This window comes from Homo sapiens, chromosome 12 (genome assembly GCF_000001405.40).
Source record: "Homo sapiens chromosome 12, GRCh38.p14 Primary Assembly".
NCBI classification, from domain to species: Eukaryota; Metazoa; Chordata; class Mammalia; order Primates; family Hominidae; genus Homo; species Homo sapiens.
In genome coordinates this window covers 75,860,069-75,884,115 of record NC_000012.12, presented here as the reverse complement: position 1 = coordinate 75,884,115, position 24,047 = coordinate 75,860,069, and the positions used below count along the sequence as shown (strand labels likewise).

At 40.4% G+C, this 24,047-nt stretch overlaps 1 annotated feature.

Annotated features, from left to right (window-relative positions):
• Positions 20,813–21,107: a silencer, noted in NCBI's record as "tiled region #6163; HepG2 Repressive non-DNase unmatched - State 23:Low". NCBI's record gives its function as "represses a minimal TATA promoter and a strong SV40 promoter by Sharpr-MPRA in HepG2 cells {active_cell/tissue: HepG2}" and the evidence as "EXISTENCE:reporter gene assay evidence [ECO:0000049][PMID:27701403]".

The following is a 24,047-nucleotide window of genomic DNA, read 5'->3' as shown; positions in this document are numbered from 1 at the left end:
TGGAAGATGATAAAAGAAAGATGGGTTGTAGGGCAGTCAATGAAGGATCTTGTAGATTCTTATAGGAAATTCTGCTGATTCTTATAGGAAATTCTGCTTTGACTAAGTGAGACGGAAAGCCCTGATCATAAGAGTGAAATACTGATGTTTAAAAGGGCCATCTGATGACTGAGTGGGAGAATAACTCTAGCAGGGCTAAGGTAGAAGCAGGGGCCCCCATTGGGAGACAATTACAATAATCCAGGCAAGAGGAGATGGCAGCTTGGATCAGGGTGGTTAACAGTGGAGATGTGAGAAGTGGTGGGAATCTGACCCCTCTGATGGTGGATTCAAAAAGATATGCTGACAGATTGGAGGTCTAGTGTGAGAGAAAGAGAGAAGGCAAGGATGATCGTAACTTTAAAGTGTGGAACTGTCCATCACTGAGATGGGGAAATCATTGGAGGAGCAGGTTTGGTTCAGTTTTAGGAAACAAGTCTGACATGATAATCAGATACCTAAGTGGAGACGTTGACCAAGCAGGTAGATGAGTCTGGGCATCAGGGGAAGTTTAATTTGGGAGTTTTCAGTATGTAGGTGATATTTAAAGGTAAGGCAACAGTGGTGAGAGGAACGATAGGGTATTTGGTAATAACAAGGAAGTAGCAGCTTGGCACAAGATCAAAAATAGCCATGGATTAAGACTTTTGGCAGCAGATGGAGGAGAGCAAAGTCAATAGCAGCTAATGAAAAATGTTTATGACTATCAAGGAGACTGGGGGACCTTGCAAAGGGAAGGCAAGCAGGCCAATTTCAGGGGAGTAGGGGATCAGTGACACAACTTAACGGAGGCTCAGATCCTGCTGCAAGCATGATTTTTACCCAAAACACATGACTGTTTTGCTAGGTAGGTGTGGCCTAGTAAGGTAACAGGTACACCTTCACAATATTGAATTACAAAGGTACTTGGATTTTGAATAATTAGCTTTAAGTCTTCTATTTCTGATTGTAAGTTCTTTAAGAGAAGATTCAATGTTAAAATTCATTTTTATATTTTGCATGGAGCTTAGAACAGAAGGCTTTGTATTTCATAGGTGTTCAACAGATATTTCTTGAATGAATTGATGAAAACAATACTAAAAGCTTCAGATATCTCCCAAAGGTGCCTCAACAGGAGTAGTTCCCATGAGGATTAGCCATGCTGGGGTCTCTTGGACAAAAGGCTGGTACTGATTGAAAAATTCCCTGAGTATGTCTAGAAGTGTCAGGCTCCTCTGGAATCAGTTACAGTGGGATTGGCTGCTTAGGTATAATCTTTATAAGATTAAAAATTATAGATTATTTGGCAGCTTGTTTGAAAGTGTTGGTCCCAAGAAAAAGTTCTGCTGTGTGTTATGGCAGAATTATTAAAAAAAATACATTCTTAAGTTGAGGTTTCTAAGTAGGCTTTTGTAAAAACAGGCAATTACTTGCTGGAGGCAGTTAATTGCATGCACAGATGGGTACTTGTGTTACAAATTCCTCATTTGCACTTGTGATTACCCATTTGCAATAATTCATGAAACCTAGGGAATTCTTAGGTACAAGGAAAGGTTTTAGGCATTTAAAAAACGTATCACTACCATCAGAGGAGATGGAGAAAACAAAGAGCTAAGTATAAAGCCTTATTCCAAATGCTAAGTTCAGAGAATATTTTCTGAAGCTCGCGGTTGTTGAGGGTAAGAGGTTTACTAAGCTATTGTTTCCATGGACTCTCTCAGCTTTAAAAAAAAGAAAGAGAAAGAAAGAAAACAGTATTTCATCATTTCTCATTTCATTTTATTTTTCATATAACTTTCTGCTAATGGTGGTCTCTGTCAAAATGTTTCTAGTTTGATCATAAGTCTGGTTAGCAGAGTTTTTTTTCTGAAAAAATGCACTCAAAATTCTTTGACATTACATAAAATCATACATCTGAGTGAAAAGTGGATAAAAATCCCCAGTCTTCCAAGGTTGTGGTAAAATGTCAAGGAGTCTTGTTTTTAGAAGCTGTTATCATGACAGCCCAGTGCTGTGATAAATGAACAGTGAATATAAACAAAAAAATGAAAGAAATTCCCCTTCCCATCAAAATATGAGCACTGACTTGAAGAAATATTTCTTCTTAAAATATTTACTTTTTATAGAAGTAATTTTTAATAATTGAAGAGCCTGAAATAAATGCTTTGTGAGGAAAACTGTCCTATACCAAGATGGTTATGTGCTATGTCAGCCTTTAGTACTGAAAAGGGAATGAACCTGTCAAACTTTCTATCCTATGGAAGCTACAAACAACTTTTACTCTAATTCCCTCAGTGTATTGCTCATGATTTGTTATTTTATTTTGGCAGTTGGATCGAATGTCCAAAACATTTTGGGGAAAGAAGGCAGGGAATAACCTATCTCACGGAAGCAATTTAGTTGGGGGGACAATAGTTTGAAAGCCTACAGACCCTGAATTTCCTTTTGGCTTTAGAGAACTGCTTAGGGATGTGGGATAGAGGAGCTAGGGTCTTCAGCCTGAGAGATCTAGCATAATCCTTGATTTGGGGAATTCCCAGTGAAGATCAGGTCAGTTCTTGGAGTCTGTTATGGTCGTCTATTCTTGTGTACATTACCCCTGCACCAAGAAGATCCAAACTTACGAAGCATTGTATCAGTCAAGATAAACTAAGCAGTGCTGCAGTAACAAACTATCCCCAGATCTCAGCAGCCTAAAGCAACATAGGCTTAATTCTCTTGTGCTATCTGTTCATGATGTGTCCATACCTGGGAGCTAGACTCACTCTGGGACCCAGACAGATAGAGCATTATCCATCGTTAATACTGAGCAGTTGGTCATGCCTTTAATCCCAGTGTTTGGGAGGCTGAGATGGGAGGATTGCATGAGCTCAGGAATTAGACACTAGCCTGGGCAACACAGCAAGATTTCATCTCTACAAAAAATAAAAAAAATTAGCCAGACTTGGTGGCACATGCCTGTGATCCCAACTACTCGAGAGGCTGAGGCAGGAGGATCACTTGAGCCCAGGAGGTTGAGGCTGCAGTGAGCTCTGATTGCATCACTGCACTCCAGCTTGGGTAACAGAGCAAGACCCTGTCTCAAACAAACAAACAAACAAACAAAAGCTTACTTCTGGTCACTGTGCTGGAGGAAGGAGAGAGCTCTTAAAAGTCTTGAATTATCAAGTAAATAAGAAGGAGTTTATTTCCCTTTGGCTCACAAGTCACTGGCTGTAACTAGTCATGTGGTTCCACACAACCATAAGGGGGCCAGAAAAGGCAATCCTGTCCTGTGCCTGGAAATAGGGAGAACCAGAAATATTTGGCAGACAGCACTAACAACTATCACTATTGGTTTCAGATGGAAATGAACCCCACAGGATGTTCTTTCATTGATTCCAGGAGCCACAGACTCATGGCTTGATGTAGCCAAACTGGTGTCCATGAACTGTCTGCTTTTTAGGTGATTTTTCTTTCACCACATGATTTCCTAGAAGGAGGATTGTACTATGGTACTGAATGCTACACGGTGCACATTTAAAAAATTTAACTTCCATGATGGGTAGTAGATTTTAAATAACTTTAGTGCCACCTCTTACGAATTTCTGTAACATTTGAAAAGAAATCTAATTGTGTTATTTGTGGTTGTACATAAGATTATCAGAATTCTAAAGTCCCCCCTTAAAGCATTCAAAATTATTTAAACACTGGAGTATTTGGGCTATTTCTCTTTGGTGGGAAACCTCATTTTATATTTTATCCTAGTTGTGAGGCATGGGACCATTTTGTTTTGGCAAATGTCGATAGATCAAGAATTGTATTAAATCTAAAGACTCAGCATAGAATTGAATTGTTCAATTTGTTGGCCAAACCAGCTCACAAAGTAGAAAAATTAAGGCAAAAATAGACAGTAGAAAAAGGACACCTAGATAAGTATTTATTCTTTATGGTTTCTCGATTTTTAAAAGCTGCATTCTAGCTTTGGTGACAGTGTTTCTTCAACAAGGTAGATAGACAATGGTATAAAAAAGATTTGAGCTGATGCCAATATCGATCTCTGGTTTCTTCTCATAGTGGACCTAGTGATAACACCAACTGGTATGGCTAAGGTAACAGTTTCTATTGTAGTCCAATATGGTTCATTTCTTTTTATTACTGTGGTCAACTGTAAGTTATCTCCTTGTTGCTTTATGATCTTTATTGCTAAGTGTTAGTCTTTGCTTAAGTATTGCTTAAAGTGCATTTTGAATACTGGGCTTTCATTCATTAATTTTTTATGGTAGGCTTTGCTCCCTCCCAATGTGAATTGCCAATTCTGACTGTGGGTGTGTAACGCTGCAGATCTCTATGTTCCCAACCTGAACTCGATATTTCACCTCTTCCCCAGTAGCGGCTTGCTCTTGGAATTTATATCATATGTTCTGGGGGATTAATGTTCTTTCCAGTGCCTGTGGTAATAGGTGGTATTTAGATGCTCTTTTCCTGAGAAGATTTACTTCCGACTTGGAATGGATGTTGAAATCTGTTTATTTGCATAGAGCCACGATAGTTTCTTGTTTGGTACTATGGGGAACCATTAATATCCCGTGGCAACAGTGATTCCAGATGAAACTGTTTAATTGCTTATTGACCATTATAGTTTGTGTTACAAAAGCATTTTCAAATATATTATTCATTTTTATCACTGCCTCTGCTACTTAATAGCTATACTACATTGAAAGAATTATCAGGATTTCTCATTTCCAAAATCTATAAAATCATTCAGCCTCTCAAATTTAAAACAAAGCCTATACACTTTGCATGTGCTGAAAAGTAACGCACATGGCACTATGCATGAATGAATGCTTAATAAATGCATATTTTTGATGGTGAAGGTGATCATATTGGAGAAAACCATCATGCATGAACCAGTTTTCCACTTTGTATAGTGGTCTGCATTAATGAGCTTATGTACTGCAGGAAATTGAAGCTATCTGTGATCCCAGAGAAAAGCCACAGAATTATGGAAGGTGAGAATTGGAAAGGACAGAGATTTTTTTCAAACATATAAAAATATGAAACCCTTTCTCTGTGGAAATCCAGTATGTAAACAGATAAGAACTGACCTGTTGTGGCTAAAGTATGTGGTGGGAGTGGGGTCCTAGAGACCCAAGTATCCTTCCCTAAATTTGTACCCTAAATACACGGTGTACAATTTGAAAACCACTGATGCTCAGTCAGCTTTTGTAGATAGAAAACCTTAGCCTAAGGAAGGTATGTGACTTCCCCAGGGCCAAGACAGACCCGATATCATACCCAGGTCTTCTCAGCTGCCTAATTTTGTCCTTTTCCACTATACTATGTGGTCTCTTAGCAATCAGAGAGTGTTTTGTGTAAACAAGAAGAAAATGAACATTTTGTGTTATTATTATTGCAACTCAAAGAAAAATGTGAAAACAAAATCTTTTAGGATCATTAAATAAATACACATTTTTTTGTCCTGGGAAGTTATCTCAGTCATGAAAAAGAAGTAAGCTGGCTTCAGCAAAGTCCCCGTAAAAGCAAGGAGAGGGGAAGCGTTCTGTGCAATCAGCCTCAACCTTTTTGCTCACCCTGAAGTCCTGCTTACGTTGTTCTTCTGATTGCGTGTGACCCAGTGTGAAACTGGAATGGGAATTTGTCAGAACAAGTCGGTGGAGCTTTCCTGCTCAGAAAGAGCTTATCTCAGTTCTTGGGGGAAAGGAAAAAAAAGAAAATGAAAAATATAAAGCAAAACAACCAACACCCCCACTGTCACCATATCCAAAACATGAAACCCGAGGCTGTTAATGCATTTTAACAACTCCTCGTCTGGAGAAAATTACATGTATTCCGATTTACACACAAATCAATAGTTGTCTGCTGTGATTGAACTATGCACTAGAGAACTGTACTGTAATTACATTCATGCCAGGCATCAAGGACAAATCCCCTGGGTTTTGAGTAGGTGTGAGACAGGAAAAAATTACCAGCCCAGCCACAGAAGATTAAAAAAAAAAAAAAGTACCCACAAAGCTTTTCTTTCAGAACGGTGGGTTTAATTACATAGTCTTCATCTAACAAATAACAGTTCTCAAACCCTTGCTAAAATCATTGCATTTAAAATACATGTGTTTGCAGGGAGAGCAGGAAGGTTGAGGCTGATTGCACAGAACGCTCCCCCACTCCTCGCTTTTACAGGGACTTTGCTGAAGCCAGCTTGCTTCTGTTTCATGACTGAGATAACTTCCCAGTACAAAATCTTTATAAAACAGTTTTGTTCGTATCTCCGTGGATTCTCAGTTGTTTTACCTCTTCCTAATGGGAGTAGATTTTTCTCCTGTTTCTTAAAATAAACGATTTTAAAAGATTTTAATTTTATTTTTTTTTCTTCCATTGTGACATTTTGAAGTAGAACAGTACAGCTTGTGATTCTGAAATTGCAAATCACACCCCTGCCCTGAAGTGTTAAATTTCACATTGCAGTTTTCTGGAGAAGTTTTGGAACCACTGACTGAGGGTTGGACCAGGAATTTTTTCTTTACTATGTCATATAATACAAAAACTGCTCTGCTTACTCCAACACCCGGCCTACTATGTGCCAGGTGCCATGATTGATTCTCTGAATACATAGATTAATAAGATATAGTCTAGTTTTTGAGAGGCTCTTGGTCTACTAAGGGATTTGGGCAATAATTAACCATATTAATTATTACTGTGTTCTTTTCACACAAATAGGCTGTCCCCTCCCTCCTTCTCTGGCAGACACAGAATCCTTGTTTCCTCCCTTGCTGTTGCTGGGAATTTCTCTACCACTCTCACTGTTGTCAGACCCTACCATTGTAGGCACCAAGGACACTTGGGATCCTGTGAGGGGACAGTGAATGTCACCTGGGGTGGAGGTTGGTGTGAAAGGAAAATAAAAACTCAGGACCCCATTCACTATGCCAAAAGGAAAAAATTAAGCTGAAAGCTGAGTCACTCCAGAAACTGCTTTTCCTTTTGTTCCTAAGCAGATAGCTACAGATAAAAGGTTAAATATCACCACAGGTAGCTACTCTGTGTTCATCTTATCTTGAGATGAATACATAATTGACTATTACCAAACCTGCTCCTTTTCTCTTGCAACATGTGGGTTACCACACCCTCCCTTTTTCCCTTTAAATATGGAAGCCCTTAAAATCATCTTTGGAGAAAGGCACAGACCATGCACTGTTTCGGTGATTCTGTGTTCTATTCTCTTGGGCATGTCGTCCTTATCCTGGGAAAAATAAACTTCTAAGCTCATTGAGACCTATCTAAATACTTTTTGGCTCACAGCAGGCTCCCCACTTGCTCTGTCCAGTGAGTTGAGAGTTGGGACATGCTCACATGTGTGTAAAGTTTTAAGATGTGAGTAGTAAGTACATTTTAACTTAGCTTTCTGAGCTGTGTATGAAAACCATGAAGAGTATTTTCTATGAGGGAAATATTTATTTTTTCTTTTTTCTTTTATTATTATTATTATTTCAATAGTTTTGGGGGAACAGGTGGTATTTTGTTACATGGATGAGTTCTTTAGGTGTGATTTCTGAGATTTTGGGGCTCCCATCACCCGAACAGTGTACACTGCACCCAATGTGCAGTCTTTTATCTCTCAACCCCCCTTCCACCTGTCCCCACAAGACACCAGAGTTTATTATATCATTCTTATGCCTTTGCTTCCTCATAGCTTAGCTCGCACTTATCAGTGAGAACATACAATGTCTGATTTTCCATTCCTGAGTTACTTCACTTAGAATAATGTTCTCCAACTCCATCCAGGTTGCTGCAAATGACATTATTTTGTTCCTTTTTATGACCGAGTAGTATTCCATAGTATATATATATGTACCACTTTTCCTTAATCCACTTTTTGGTTGATGGGCATTTAGGCTGGTTCCATATTTTTGCAATCATGAATTGTGCTGCTATAAACAAGACTGTGTAAGTATCTTTTTCATATAATGACTTCTTTTCCTCTGGGTAGGTACCCAGGAGTGGGATTGCTGGATCAAATGGTAGTTCTACTTTTAGTTTTTTAAGGAATCTCCATACTGTTTGCCATAGTGGTTGTACATTCCCATAGCAGTATAAACGTATTCCCATTTTACTACATTCCCACCAACATCTATTTTTTTTTATTTTCAAATTATGGCCATTCTTACAGGAGTAAGGTGGTATGGTATTGTAGTTTTAATTTGCATTTCCCTGATAATTAGTGATGTTGAACATTTTTTTCATCTGTTTGTTGGCCATTTGTATATCTTCTTTTGAGAATTGTCTATTCATGTCCTTGGCCCACTCTTGATGAGATGATTTATTTTTTTTTTTCTTGCTGATTTGTTTGAGTTTCTTGTAGATTCTTGATACTAGTCCTTTGTTGGATGCATAGTTTGCAAATATTTTCTCCCGCTCTGTGGGTTCTCTGTTTACTTGGCTGATTATTTCTTTTGCTGTGCAGAAGCTTTTTAGTTTAATTAAGTCCCATCTATTTATCTTTGTTTTTGTTGCATTTGCTTTTGGGTTCTTGGCCATGAACTTTGCTGAGGTCAATGTCTAGAAGAGTTTTTCTGATATTATCTTCTAGAATTTTTATGGTTTCAGGTCTTAGATTTAAGTCTTTGATCCATCTTGAGTTTATTTTTGTATAAGGTGAGAGATGAGGATCCAGTTTCATTCTTCTACATGGAGCTTGCCAATTATCCCAGCACCATTTGTTGAATAGGGTGACCTCTCCCCTACTTTATGTTTTTGTTTGCTTTGTGGAAGATCAGTTGGCTGTATGTATATGGCTTTATTTCTGGGTTCTTCATTCTGTTCCATTGGTCTATGTGCCTGTTTTTGTACCAGTATCATGCTGTTTGGGTAACCATAACCTTGGAGTATAACTTGAAGTCAGGTAATGTGATGCCGCTAGATTTCTTTTTGCTTTGTCTTGCTGTGGCTATGTGGGCTTTCTTTTTCCATATGAATTTTAGGAATTTTTTTTCTCTTTCTGTGAAGAATGATGATGGTATTTTGAGGGGTATTGCATTGAATTTATAGATTGATTTTGGCAGTATGGCCATTTTCACAATATTGATTCTACCCATCCATGAACATGGGATGTGTTTCCATTTGTTTGTGTTGTCTATGATTTCTTTCAGCAGTGTTTTGTAGTTTTCCTCATAGAGATCTTTGACCTCTTTGGATAGGTGTATTCCTAATTATTTTAATTTTTTTGCAGCTGTTGTAAAAGTGGTTGAGTTCTTGATTTGATTCTCAGCTTGGTCACTGTTGGTGTATAGCAGTGCCATTAATTTTTGTACATTGATTTTGTATGCTGAAACTTTACTGAATTCGTTGTTCAGATCTAGGAGCTTTTTGGACGAGTCTTGAGGGTTTTCTAGGTATACCATTATATCATCAGCAAACAGCAACAGTTTGACTTCCTCTTTACCAATTTGGATGCCTTTTATTTCCTTCACTTGTCTGATTGCCCTGGCTAGGACTATGAGGAAGAAATTTAACAGAAGATTAAAACAGATAGGAGTTTGATTATATGGGTTTAGTCTTCTCAGAATTGGGTTTAGCTTTCATTAGCATATAAGGCAAATGTTGAGTCCCAGCTGAATGTGGTTAGAAGCTGTTTTGTTTGTCCCACAGAATATGGCAGTGTTGCTATTTAAAAATTTGAGTAAGAGCTGGCTAGGCGTGGTAGATCACACCTGTAATCCCAGCACTTTGGGGGGCCGAGGCAAGTAGATCACCTGAGGTTCGGAGTTCAAGATCAGTCTGGCCAACATGGTGAAACCCTGTCTCCAATAATAATACAGAAAAATTAGCAGGGCATGGTGGTGCACACCTGTAATCCCAGCTACTCAGGAGGCTGAGGCAGGAGAGTTGCTTGATCCTGGGAGGTGGAGGTTGCAGTGAGCTGAGATCACACCATTGTACTCCAGCCTGGGCAATGAGAGAGAAACTCCATCTTAAAAAAAAAAAAAAAAATTGAATAAGAGGACAACTTTTTACATTTGAGGAATTTCACATGAAATCTAAAGTCTGGCTTTTCTTGAAAAATCAGAAGATCTGGTTATGTACATAACACATGTCAGCTGGTAGCAGTTGCCTGGTATAAGGACTATACTGTTTCCATTTTACTACCAGGGCCTCAGTGATTTTTGTTATTTGAATGATACCCAAAGACTTTTCAGATTCACCTTTGTAGGCTGGTGGTAGGTTCCATTCTAGTCAATATTCAGTGGAGAAATTGTTGCTCCTTGAGCTGATTTGCTCTGAAAAGTTTCTACTGTCCTCAGGCACATGTAGTTCTGATTGGGTGCTCATTATTTCTGCATAAAGCTGCTGTGGTTTTTTCCAGCTGATATAGAGCATCCAGAGCCATCTAGACAAATCATATGTGAGCCAAAGCACCATCCGTCTCCCACCCAACTCCCCTTGCCACAGTTACTCTTCTATTTTCATGGTCTGAAATGTCCACTAGGAAAAGAATAGTATGTTTGGGCTGGGCATGGTGTCTCATGCCTGTAATCTCAGTACTTTGGGAGGCTGAGGTAGGAGAATTGCTTGAGGCCAGGAGTTCAAGACCAGCCTGAGTAACATAGCAAGACCTCATCTTAAAAAAAAAAAAAAAAAAAGAAAAAAGAAAATTACAAATATAGAAAGAATAGCATGTGTGGCAAGGTGCAAATTTAATAGCAGAAGACATCATCCCTGGTGTTATGGTGAAGGTAGCTGGAAGCTCTTTCATATTTTTTTTTTGAGAATTAATATTTGTTGAGCCCATACTTGGTGCTAGACCCTGAAGACAGAGTCATGAATAAAAGGGATAAAATATCTGCCCTTCTGCTTTTTGCATTCTAGAAAGGGAGACAGGTGATTAAATAGCATTATGTCAGATTACACTAAGTATGTAGGGGATTAGGTATAGTGTTGAAGGGGGTAGGAGGATAAGGCAGGATTGAGGAAAGGACATATCAGGAGTGGGGAGCTGCAATTTTAGATAAAATTGCCAGGGAACTTGGTTCAGATGTCTTACTCAAATGCCCCTTTCTGAGTAAGACTGGAAAAAAAGTGAGGGAAACTTCCATGCAGATATTGTAGGGAAGAGAGTGCCGAGAGCAAAGTACAAAGTCCCAAAGAAGGAGCAGATCTGGTGGTTGGAGGCTAGAAAGTTCACGGGAGTCCTTGTTGTCCACAAAAAGAGTCAATCTCTGTAAAATGTTTGAAGAGATTCATTCCAAGCCAATGAGGACCAATGGCCTGTGACAAAGGCCCAGGAGATCCCAAGAATATATGCTCAGGGTTGTCAGGCCACAGCTTGGTTTTATACATTTTAGGGAGACATACAACATCAATCAATACATGTAAGATGTACATCGGTTCAGTACGGAAAGGCAGGACAACTGAAGTGGTGGGGCAGGGAGTAGTTCCAGGTCATAGGGGGATTCAAAGATTTTCTGATGGGCAAATGATTGAAATAATTTTTATCTAAAGACCTGGAATTCATAGATGGGAGTCTCTGGGTTAAGATAAGGGGTTATAATCCCAAGGTTCTTATTATGCAGATGAAGCCTCCAGGTAGGCTTCAGAGAAAATAAAATTGTAAATGTTTCTTATCAGACTTAAAAAGATGCCAGACTCTTAGCTAATTCTCTCCTGGATCAGGGAAAAGACCTGGAAGGGGAAAAGGATTCTCTACAGAATGTAGATTTTCCCCACAAGAGACAGCTTTGCAGGGCCGTTTCAAAATATATCAAATAAACACATTTTAGGGTAAAATACTTTGATTTCTTTCAGGGCCTGCTATGTGTCCTGTGATGCTATATTAGAGGCAGGCCAGAATTTGGCGTCTTATTGCTACAAAAAGTCTTAAGTTCTCTGTTTTAATGTTAATAATATAATGGTCAGTTGTACCTGAATTCCAAAGGGAGGAGGGCATAATGAGGCATGCCCAGCCCTCACTTCCCATGGAGGCCTGAACTAGTTTTTCAGATTAACTTTGGAATGCCCTTGGCCAAGAGGAGGGGGTCCATTCAAATGGTTTGGGGGGCTTAAAATTTTATTTTTATTTTACGTTGTCATCATAGTCTGGATTTCTGCTTTTGTTCCAAGTAGCTGGGCAGCCACGGTGGGTGGGGGCAGTGGAGGAAGACATCTTCTAATGTAGGCTGCTCAGCAGGCTCACTATGTCTGCTATGCTGAGAATAGACTGAAGCAGTGGGAGTGGGAGGAGGGAGGGCAGTCGTCAGGGGCTGCAGTGATTCAGGTGAGGGATGGCAGCCAGTAGGACTAAGCTGGCAGCACATTTGGAGTATATTTAGAGAGTAGAGCTGATGGGCTTTGTTAGTGGGCTGAATGTGAAGTGTGAGACGAAGAAGGGAGTCAAGGATGACCCCAAGGTTTTGACCCAAACAATTGAAAGAATGGTGTCGCCATTAACTGAGTTGGGGAAGACTGCAGGAGGAGCAGGTTGGGAAGGGGTGAATATCAGGAAAGTTTTTTTTTTTTTTTTGATATGTTAAATTTGAGATACTTATTATTATTATTATTTATTTTTTTTCTGTCCTCACAATCTGTTCCCATGAGATGCTTATTAGATATTCAAGTGGATGTTGAGAAGGCAGTACATCCTGGTTACTTCAATTAAGGTATTTGCCTGTATAAATGTACTATAGAAATTCTAAATAATAATTAAGTGTAACCTTATTCTCATGCAATTAGGGAAAGATATGGTAAAAAAAAAAAAGATCTTTTCAACATTCAGAAAACTTGCAAGGGGCCAATGTTGATAACTTTCAATTTAACACTAGATTCTTCTATTGTTAATGAAAAATGTAAAAATCATCATAAAAACTAAATAGTCATTAGAAATCAACTTGGGCTGAGAGCTGGGAGAATAATTTTTTACTTCAATAGACTTTAAATAAATATTTAATGCTGATAATAGAGACACACAGAAAGTCAGTGGGAAATTTGCATGACTCACAAAGTAGGCATGGAGGGCTTTTTAATCAAATTAAGTCCTTTTACAATAAAAGTTCTTTGAATTTTCCTATGACTTTTTGAAATGAAAGGATTTCTTAGAAATAACCTCATTAAGCTGTAGTGAGACTAGCCAGGACGCATAATATTATTTCTAATTTATAGATCTGGCTGGGGAGGAAGAGAGGATTCACAATAGAGTTGCTATGTTTCTGGCGACTCAATGGCTAAACAAGGTTTAGAAACTGCATTTTTTCATTTCAGATAAGTTACTTTCTAGCTTAACTAAATTGTTTTCTTTCTTTTCTCTTCTGAAATAAACAGAAAAATGCCTTGTTTTGTTTCTTTTAATGTCTCCTACCCCTTTAGCTCTAAAGGGTCATATGCAAAATATTTTCACATTAAAGGAAAGATTTGAGCTCTGTTTGAGTATAACTTAGTTTTCAGTCTCTAAGTTTCAAATTGTGGACAGACTTATGCATTCTCCCCTCAAAATGTGTGTGAAGGACAGTTCCTTCCTCTAAAGATTCAAATAGCAGGCTGGGCATGGTGGCTCATGCCTGTAATCCCAGCACTTTGGGAGGCCGAGGCGGGTAGATCACCTGAGGTCAGGAGTTCGAGACCAGCCTGGCCAACATGGTGAAACCCCGTCTCTACTAAAAATACAAAAATTAGGCTGGCATGGTGGTGCACACCTGTAGTCCCAGCTACTCAGGGGGCTGAGAAAGGAGAATCACTTGAACCCAGGAGGCGGAGTTTGTGGTGAGCCGAGATCGTGCCCTTGTACTCCAGCCTGGGTGACAGTGAAACTCTATGTCAAAAAAAAAAAAAAAAAAAAAAAAAATTCAGATAGCTAAATTGAGTCTATTCCTGTTGTCAACTTATGGCAAGAATATCATACTATTTTTAATATTGATATAATATAAAGTGTGGCCAGAGATGTAATTAGTTTGTGCCCAATTTTCAGTATTATGTATATCTGAATGCAAGAGATTAATTGTTAACAACGAATGTTACAACGAATGGGCACAAACATTCATTGTTGACTGAATCTCTTGTTAAACAGAAAACTCCAGTTAGAGAGGCAATGGCCTTTGATAGAGGTAAGGCCAATATATTCTAAAAATATATCAAAATTCTTTGGTTCCATGGTGGAGAATGTGGCTGTAAGTAACCCCTGTGCCACATCCTTCTATTTACCTGATCCCAGAGACAAAAAAATCTTCCTTGCTTGCTCTAGTTAGAACAATCCAAGGGAGGGCAAGGACTTTTATTGGCTAAGTTTGTGTCACACGCCCACTTCTTGGACCAATCACTATCACAGGGGCCACGGGATGCTGTGATTCGTTGGATCTGGCTACTGTGCCTGGAGGGTGGCAACTGTAATTAAAGATACTGCAGACTCCCACAGAGTAGGTAGTGTGAGAAGAGCCATTTCTCAAAGGAAAGACGAGTGAGGCTGTTAAGGGAAGGGAGGCTGAGAGGCCCATAGTAATTGATGTTTGCTAATAAGTGACCAGAGTCAGTGCACCTAGAGGGGGAGTCAGAGATGGCTTCCTGAAGGAGGTGTTACTCAAACTGAAGAGTTTTTTTTTTTTTCTTGTTTGTTGAGATGAAGTCTCACTCTGTCTCCCAGGCTGGAGTGCAGTGGCGTGATCTTGGCTCACTGCAACCTCCACCTCCTGGGTTCAAGCGATTCTCCTGCCTCAGCCTCCCTAATAGCTGGGACTACAGGTGCACACCACCACGCCCAGCTAATTTTTTGCAGTTTTAATAGAGATGGGGTTTCACCATGTTGGCCAGGCTGGTTTTGAACTCCTGATCTCAAGTGACCAACCCACCTGGGCCTCCCAAAGTGCTAGGATTGCAGGTGTGAGCCACCGTGCCTGGCCACACTGAGGAGTTTTAGAAATATGTGCTAAGCATTGAAGAAAGAGTAGGCATTCTCCAGGTGTTTATGTGTATATTTGTATGCAGACACAGAAGAGGTTAGGGTGGACCAGGCAAAGGGAACAGCGTATATAAAAATATAAAGGTGGGTGAAAAGAAAGTGGCCTTTTTAGAGAACTAAGAGGTTTGGTATGGCTGGAACAGAAGGTAAGATGATCAGGTAGCAAGAAATGGAGAGCTTTGATACCTTGGGATGGGAAATCACCTGTTGAATTTAAATCAGTGAATATTTATGGAATGGAGTACTTCTCAGTGCCAGTGCTCTTCTATTCATTCACATGTATTAGCTCGTTTAATCCTCACACCAACTCTATGGAATAAGGAAGAGAGAGTTAAAAATATTTACCAACTGGCGTGGACTGGTCCTCATTGGCAGCCATCCTAGCAGGAGGGATGCCAGCTGTGAAGCACTGCTACCCACCACTGTCACTGTGTGTATCGGCAACTGCTGGCCCTGGATGTGGGCACTCTCATGATTCTTCTTTTGCAAATGAGAAAGCTAAAGCACAGGCTTGTTAACTTGACCAAGCATGCATGGTCTAATGGAAGAACTGGGCTTCAAACCAAAGGCATCTGGCTCCAGACCTCATGTCTTGCAAGGAGTGAATATGAAATTCATTTGTTAGAAAAAGAACATGAGAGAGTGTAAGTTTCAGGAAGACAGGGACTGTGTCTGCTTTTGTTTCTCATTATCTCCCAGCACTGTTCCTGACACATAATAGACACCCAAAAATATTTATTGAATATTATTTACCAATGATAGAAAGCTCACTGCAAGAAAGAAAGTTCTGAGAAGGGCGGCCAGGCACAGTGGCTCACGCCTGTAATCCCAGTACTTTGGGAGGCTGAGGCAGGTGGATCACCTGAGGTCAGGAGTTCGAGACCAGCCTGACCAACATGGAGAAACCCCATCTCTACTAAAAATACAAAATTAGCCGGGCATGGTGGTGAGCTGTAATCCCAGCTACTCGGGAGGCTGAGGCGGGAGAATCGCTTGAACTGGGGAGGTGGAGGTTGCGGACAGCTGAGATCGTGCCATTGCATTCCAGCCTAGGTAACAAGAGAGAAACTCCGTCTCAAAAAAAAAAAAAAGTTCTGAGAAGGGCAAATAAAGCTAAGGCATTAGCCCAGATGAGAAAATAATAAAGCCTTGAAGAAACAATATCACGTGTACACCAATTGGAAGATATTAAAGGGGTATTAATATTGCAGAATTTAGTTGCTGGATGTGGGGGTGAGCCCCAGGTTTCTATTCTGAACAACCAGGTGGGTGATATTGCCATTCACTGGGATAGGAAATATAAAAAGAATAGGTTGTTAATGGTGGTTAAGGTGAAGGTGCTAAGAGCTCCTTTTTCAGATGTGGAGTTTGAGTGTTTATAGCTGCCTAGGAGGCAATTGTATCTGGAATTCAGAGACAGACCAGCACTGGTGATGTAGATCAATAAAAAATTAGGATATGGGTGAAGATTTAAAGGCATGGGGGTGGATAAGATCATCCAAAAAGTGTAGGCAATTGACCCTTGAACAACATGGGTTTGAACTGCCGGTTCACTTACATGTGGATTTTTTACATATAAGTAAAAAGTAGAAAATACAGTATTCAAGGGATGTGAAACCCACTTATATGGAGGGCCTACGTTTCCTATTTGAGGGTTCCTGCAGGGCCAACTGTGGGACTTAAGTAGTTGCAGATTCTGGTACAGGGTGGGGAATGGGTGGCCGTGGGGTGGTGGCTGGGAGGAAGAGTGAGGAGGGTGGTTCTGGAACTAATTCCCCACATATCCACTGTGTAGACAGAAGGGGCTGGAGGATGGACCCCTGGGGCCAGTGAAAGAAGAAGAATCCCAAACAGAGAATGAGAATGAATGTCTAGAGATAGAAGAGGAGAAACCAGAGAGTGTGTTGTCAGTGAAGCTGAAATTTGTAGGGGCATCAGCATGTGCGGTTTTCTGATTTTCTCCAACAGCACTGAGCACTCTGGATCTAAACGTGGAAAAGGTAGACAGGCAGTGGGATTGATTCAGAGTTTGGGTTTTGGTGGGCAAAAGTGGCTGACTATAGGCAAGGGAGTTGCAAATATTAAGAGACACTGAGTGTTGGATCTGAGGCCAAGGCAGGTAGGGCAGGAAGTGAGTACGGGAGGAGTTTAAGTTGGTCCAAGATGGGAGGTCAAAGGGAGGGTGTGGTGGATTTAAAGGACCCAGGGAGCTGAAGGGATAGGAAGTCGTGGTCAGAGTTGGGTAGAGGAGTGCTAAATTTCAGATCCAGGTGGTAACAAGGTCCAAAGGTGTGGTCATGGGTCATGGGTGTGAGGGGCTGAAGTGCAAGGGAAGTGTATTAGGGTTATCCAGAGAAACAGAACGAATATGGTGTGTGTTTGTGTGTGTGTGTATATCTGTGTGTGTGTGTGTGGATCTATCTGGACAGAGAGAGAGAGAGAGAGACCCAGAGAGAGAGGGAAATGGAAATTGGTTGTCTGATTATAAGGAATTGGCTCATGCATTTATAGAGGTAGGAAACTCCCAAGATCTGTAAGATCAGGCAGCAAGTTGGAGACCCAGGAGAGCTGATGGTGTAGTTCAAGTCTGAAGACCAGCAGCCTTGAGACCCAGGAAGAGCCAATATTTCAGTTTGAGTCTGAAAGCAGGAGACTTCTCTTTTACTAGGAGGAAAGTTTGCCTTTTTGTTCTATTCAAGCCTTCAGAGGATTGGATGAGGCCAACACACATTAGGGAGGGAAAACTGCTTTACTCGGTCTACTGATTTAAATGTTAATCTCATCTAAAAATACTCTAACCGAAATACCCAGAATAATCGTTGATGAAATATCTAGGCACCTTGAGACTCAGTCAAGTTGACAGATGAAAGTAACCATGCCTGGAAATAACTTATTTACTCCAGTTTCTGTACTTGCTTTGGTCTTTTTGTCCTTGGCTTTCTAGATCCAGGTTCCCACTTTACCTCCTGCCTTTGTCTATGGACTACAGAAACCTAGTCTGCCCATTAGAATTGTGCTGGGAAGCTTCTGTGCAGATTGAAGTTGAGACATCAGAGCTGGGTCTGAGTCGTGACCCAACTCTATGAGGAATGCTTATTGGTCTGCTATTACAAGGGACATCTAGAAGCATTGCTACTTGTAATTGTTTCACCTGTGCCCAATACACAATTCCCATAGGAAAATCAGGGCTACACTAGTTCCTCAGAGCAGTTAAGGACCAAAGAAAAAATTGCAGGTACATTACTTTGTGTCACCTGTGATATTTTATAACATATATATAACAAATATATATTTATATATGGATGAAAACATATATGTTTATATATAAATGAAAACATTATATATATGAATGAAAACATATATGGTTTATATATATGAATGAAAACATATATATGGTTTATATATATGAATGTCATGGTTTCCTGGCTTATAGCTTCCATTAGCCCTTTTATAGTCCTTTGTTATAATGATGGGGCACTTTAGGTCTCAGGTGCAGGCCGCAGGAAACAGAATCACTCTCTGACCTTCTCCTTCCACTTGCCCAAGGCAGGACTCAATCTACTTGTGGGTCATAAGAACTTATATTCCAGAGAGGGTCCTGACTCATACCCTAGAGGAAGGAAGCCTGCACAGAGAGGCCAAGAAGAATCTGAACAGACGGGCCTCGCTGGGTTTAGATCACATCTTTTTTGTCCAATCACATTTCTACATGGTTTTCTATGTTTCAATCATGCCTATCCAGTGGAGTCTGCATAAAAGGCTCAGGAGGACTGGATTTGGGGAGCTTCCTGATAGCTGATCATGAGGAGGTTCCTGGTGTACCTTGAGGAGCTCTGTGCCCCTTCCTCCATACCTCACTCCCTTTATCTCTTCATCTGTATCTTTTGTGATATCCTCTATAGTAAACCAGTAAACATGTTTCCCTGAATTCTGTGAGCCATCCCATGAAATTAATTGAGCCCAAAGAGGTGGGTCATGGAAACCCCAACTTAAAGCTGGTCAGTCAAATTTCTGAGGGCCTGGGCTTGTGGCTGGTGGCTGAAGCAGGGGCCAGTTTTCATGATTGAGCCCTCTACTTGTGGGATCTGACGCTGTCTGCAAGCAGATAAAGCCGGAATCGAATTGGAGGACACCGAGCTGTTGTCTGCTGCAGAATGGATTCCTTGTTTGCTAGTGGGGAGAAATCTTCACATGTTTTGGGGTCACAGAAGTCTTCTGTGTTGATTGTTATGCTGTCGACGTGAGAGCAGGGGAAAAACGTGGTTTGAGTTCCTGAACACCACCCCTTGGGCAAGCTTGATGGAACAGATAACAGATGCTATTGGCTGTATCTACGTGCACACTGAATTGCCCTCCTGAAGGCTGGGGACTGTTGAACACATTTCACCTGTTGGAGGCTACCGGAGAGTAGATTATGATTAGGCCTCTTGCTTTCTGAGCAGAGCAGTGTTATTGGAAATAATGGGAATTCTATTTAGCTGGATGCTTTGGATTAGTAGGTGAATCATGGGTAAAAGATCTGCCTTTATTTAGTGATTCTCATGGTTTCAAAATGTATTAAGAGTAGTAAGTAAGATACCTATATTCAGGAGCTAATAATATTTGTAAAAAGTACCTATTCTGAGCCTCCAGTGATTTGTTTTATAGATGTGACCCTTAAGAGAAAATTTTAAAAATTGGACAATTTTTTTGTGGGAGGGGAATAGGCCTTGGGAGAGACACATAGTATTCTGGATCTGGAACTGATTTTCTTTCCTCCTTTTGATTCAAATTGGTTGTATTCCCAGCCACACCTACCACTTTGGGACCATCTCCTTTCCTGTCTGAACTGCATAGAAGTGGAAATCCTACTTGTATGCCAGACTCCCTTAACCCCAAAAGAACTTTTAAAGGTGTTCACTGATTTTTCTCTGCTTCTTGACTCAGATGTTAAATGATTGGCTTAGATTTTTACCTTTTTATCTTTCTGGGATTAAATCCTGGCCCCTCTTTTATATAATGTGTCATCTGGGGAAAATTATTTGACTTCTATGGATGTCAGTTTTCTTATTTATAAAATGGTGATAATAATAGACTTTACCTCTTGGGTTAGTATGGAGATTTAAAAGATATATTCTGTATTAGTCAGAGATCTCCAGAGAAAGAGAACCAATAGGATATATATAGATATAAGAGGGAATTTATTAAGGGAATTGGATCATGTGATTATAGAGGCTGAGAAATCCTGATATGCTGTCTGCAAGCTGGAGAACCAGAGAAGCTGGTAGTGTAATTCTGTCTGAGTCCAAAGGCCTGGGAACAGGGGAGCCAACGGTGCAACTCTCAGTCCAAGGCTGAAGGCCTGAGAACCTGGAGTTCCGACGTCTGAGGGCAGGACAAGATGGCTATCCCCAACCCAGAAGAGAATGAATTGACTCTCCCTCTGGCTTTTTATCCAGAGGATGTGGGTGATCATCATCTAGTCGGTGCAGAGCCTGGATGGAAGTCTGCTGATTACTAAGTCTACTGATTCAAATGCTTATCTCTTCCAGAAGCACCGTCACAGACACACCCGGGAATAATGTTTTGCTCGCTACCTGGGTATTCCCAACCCAGTCTAGTGGATACCTAAAATTAACTGTCATATATTCCATATTGTTAGTGCAATGTTTGGTGAACAGCAAAATGTTCAACAGATGTTAGCTCTAATTTTTATTTTGTTATCCTATGCCTCAAATTCTTTCAGGTTGTCTTTATAAGTATACGACTGATTCATGTTTATTGACTCACTAACAATAGAGTATTTACCTAACTGTGAATCATGTTTTATTTCCTATAGGTGGCTATTTTATATTTGAAAATGGAAACAGGAAAATCTTGCCTTTTATAGTCAGCCTGAGTAATCTGACTTCAATTGAGTGCATGCATTTATGGGGGGGTAAGGTGATGGAAGGAATATTTGGACTATAAAGCTCAATTCCCAAATCCTATTTCTCAGCCTTCAACGGTGCAGGAAATCAGTCACTGCATTTCTGATACTGATGACCTCTTTGGTCCTGACTCATCTGAGATGATGCCATACAGAAACCATGGCTCTGGCAAATAGACATGTAATTTGTTTCTTGGACTTAGTAGTGTACAAATTGGGATATTCTCAGCACTAATCTCCCTAACAAGGACAATTCCTGGTTGCAAATTATTTAGTCTACATACAATTTGGGAACTTGGGAATGTTTAGATATTCAGCTGTTTCACAAGCCAGACTATTCAAGTTCAGAGAATTTCTGCTGAATCCTCTGATTTGATTCAGATTATATACAAGCTTAGGCAACTCTTTTGTGGAAGGTATTGAACAACAAGGCAATGAATCATATGGCTTAGTGAACTCTGCCTTAGGTTATTCAGTCATTCATCAAACATTCATTATACAACTACTCTGTGTCAGCCCTTGGTCTCAGTACTGAGGACACACACAAATGAATGTGCTACCCTGTCTGTTCTCTGGGGCCTCAAGGGTGGATAGTAACTTTGTAGGAAATATTCTGTGGAAAAGCAGGGAACAATTATCCATCCGTCCATTCTTCAATTCAACAAATATTTATGAAACATTTATGTGAGCCAGGCATCAAGTTAGGTATAGGTGATTCAGCAATAGACAATACAGATGCTCCCTGTCCTCCTAGACTTATTATAACTCATGGTAGAGATAAACAATCAAATAATTAAACATAAATTTATAGTACCTTGGGATAAATGCAAGATAAGTGAACCATTTACAGTACATTGTGATATAGGGAATATAGTAATGAAGGCTAAATGCTCAATTTAGAAGTGATTTCTCTCTCTGCCTCACCTGAGGAAAGATCTGAAGCTTTGAGCGGAACAGTTCCATTTGAAAGTGGTCATATAAGAGGACTGTATCTTTAGAAGTTTCTTTGGTTATACAGGCTCGTACAAAAGCAATTACGAGCAGAGACTGGAACAATACTAGAAATATAGTTGATGACTTAAATGGAAGAAAACCTGTGTATTAGGCATTGGACTTTGAGTAATTGTAGACATAAAAACTCAAAGTTCTTTACAATGAGCATATTAGCACTGACAACAGGAAACAGCCAAAAAAGACCTTCATGGATGAAAACTATAAAATAAGATGCAGATTTGGACTCAGATAAGGACAGAGTTTCTCTCCCAAGTGGTCCTGGTTAAGGGCTTTACCAATGTTCTAGAGAGGAGGACATTTAAACCTGTGATTATTTATATTTTACCATACGTATTTTTGCTTACAATAAGTAAGGTATATGGATTCAATTCATTTATCATAGGAGGTTGTATTTCCTTATATATTGTCTCATTTTTCTCATCAGGTCCTGTGTTAAAAAAAAGTTTTCTCTTACTGTTGAGAAGTACCTGAATCAAATAGAACAAACCAACACTACTGTCCTAGTACCCTAAGCAGGTAGCTGGCTAAAAAGCTCTCACTAATTTTTGGTACAAGGCCTCGAATACTGAGAGTGTCTACAAAGTCAGAAGTTCTCAAGTCTATTTGTATATCAGGAACACCCAAGGAGCTTTAAAAAATAGAGATAACCAGACCCATCCTGCGAAATTGTGTTGTAATAGGTCTGGGGGAAATAACTGGGAATATATTTTTAAAAAGACTTCTTGGCCGGGCACGGTGGCTCACGCTGTAATCCCAGCACTTTGGGAGGCCGAGGTGGGTGAATCACAAGGTCAGGAGTTTGACACCAGCCTGGCCAATATGGTGAAACCCCGTCTCTGCTAAAGGTACAAAAATTAGCCGGGCATGGTGGTGGGCACCTGTAGTCCCAGCTACTTGGAAGGCTGAGGCAGGAGAATCGCTTGAACCCAGGAGGCAGAGGTTGCAGTGAGCTGAGATTACATCACTGCACTCCGGCCTGGGTGACAGAGACTCCACCTCAAAAAACAAAAAAAAACCCAAAAACAAAAAAAGACTTCTCAGATGATTCTGATGTACCTAGTCTGCATGGATTGCTGTTTCAGAACCTCTGTACTAGGTTAACAGTATGATTTTTATTTATTCCCACTTTTAGATGGGTTACTCATATTAAAACTTAAAAATATAATTTTTATCAATGGCAATTAAAAAATCTTTTTTTTTCTTTGAGACAGAGTCTCTCGCTCTGTTGCCCAGGCCGGAGTGCAGTGGCTCAATCTTGGGTCACTGCAAACTCTGCCTCCTAGGTTCAAGTGATTCTTGTGCCTCAGCCTCCTGACTAGCTGGGACTACAGGCAGGCACCACCATGCCTGGCTAATTTTTGTATTTTTAGTAGAGACGGGGTTTCACCATATTGGCCAGGGTGTTCTCGAATGCCTGACCTTGTGATCCACCTGCCTTGGCGTCCCAAAGTGCTGGGATTACAGGTGTAAGCCACCACGCCAGGCCAAAAAAAATTCTTAGTCCCTTTCTTTGTCCCACCCTCTTTTTATTCATCTCTTCCATGTTTTTCACAGAATTCTAAAATACATTGTGATTACCTTATCCAAACTCTGTTTTGAGATAAGAGGGGATAAATAGCTACCATTTAGAGAAGTCATTTTACTTATTATTACTATTTTTTGAGACAAGTCTCGCTCTGTCACCCAGGCTGGAGTTCATGGTATGATCTTGGCTCTCAGCAACCTCTGCCTCCCGGGTTCAAGGGAGTCTCCTGCCTCACACTCCCTAGTAGCTGGGATTACAGACATGTGCCTCCATGCCCGGCTAATTTTTTTTGCATTTTTAGTAGAGATGGGGTTTCTCCATGTTGGCCAGTCTGGTCTCAAACTCCTCAGGTGATTTGCGTGCCTCTGCCTCCCAAAGTGCTAGGATTACAGGTGTGAGCCACCACGACTGGCCAATCATGCACCTATTTAGCCCAGTAAATTTTCCTGGAAGAGTCTTGGTATGAGCTAACAATTCATAAATAGGACTGCTTTACGGTGAACTGCATGGCTGCAAGAGATGTAGGGCAGAGCTGTTGATAATCTGCTGAGATCCACACATGGCCCAGCTGGCTTTTTCAGACACTGCCTTCTTGCCTTTGGTATGCTGTTTCAGGGTGTTACACCCCAACCCATGACTCATGACTC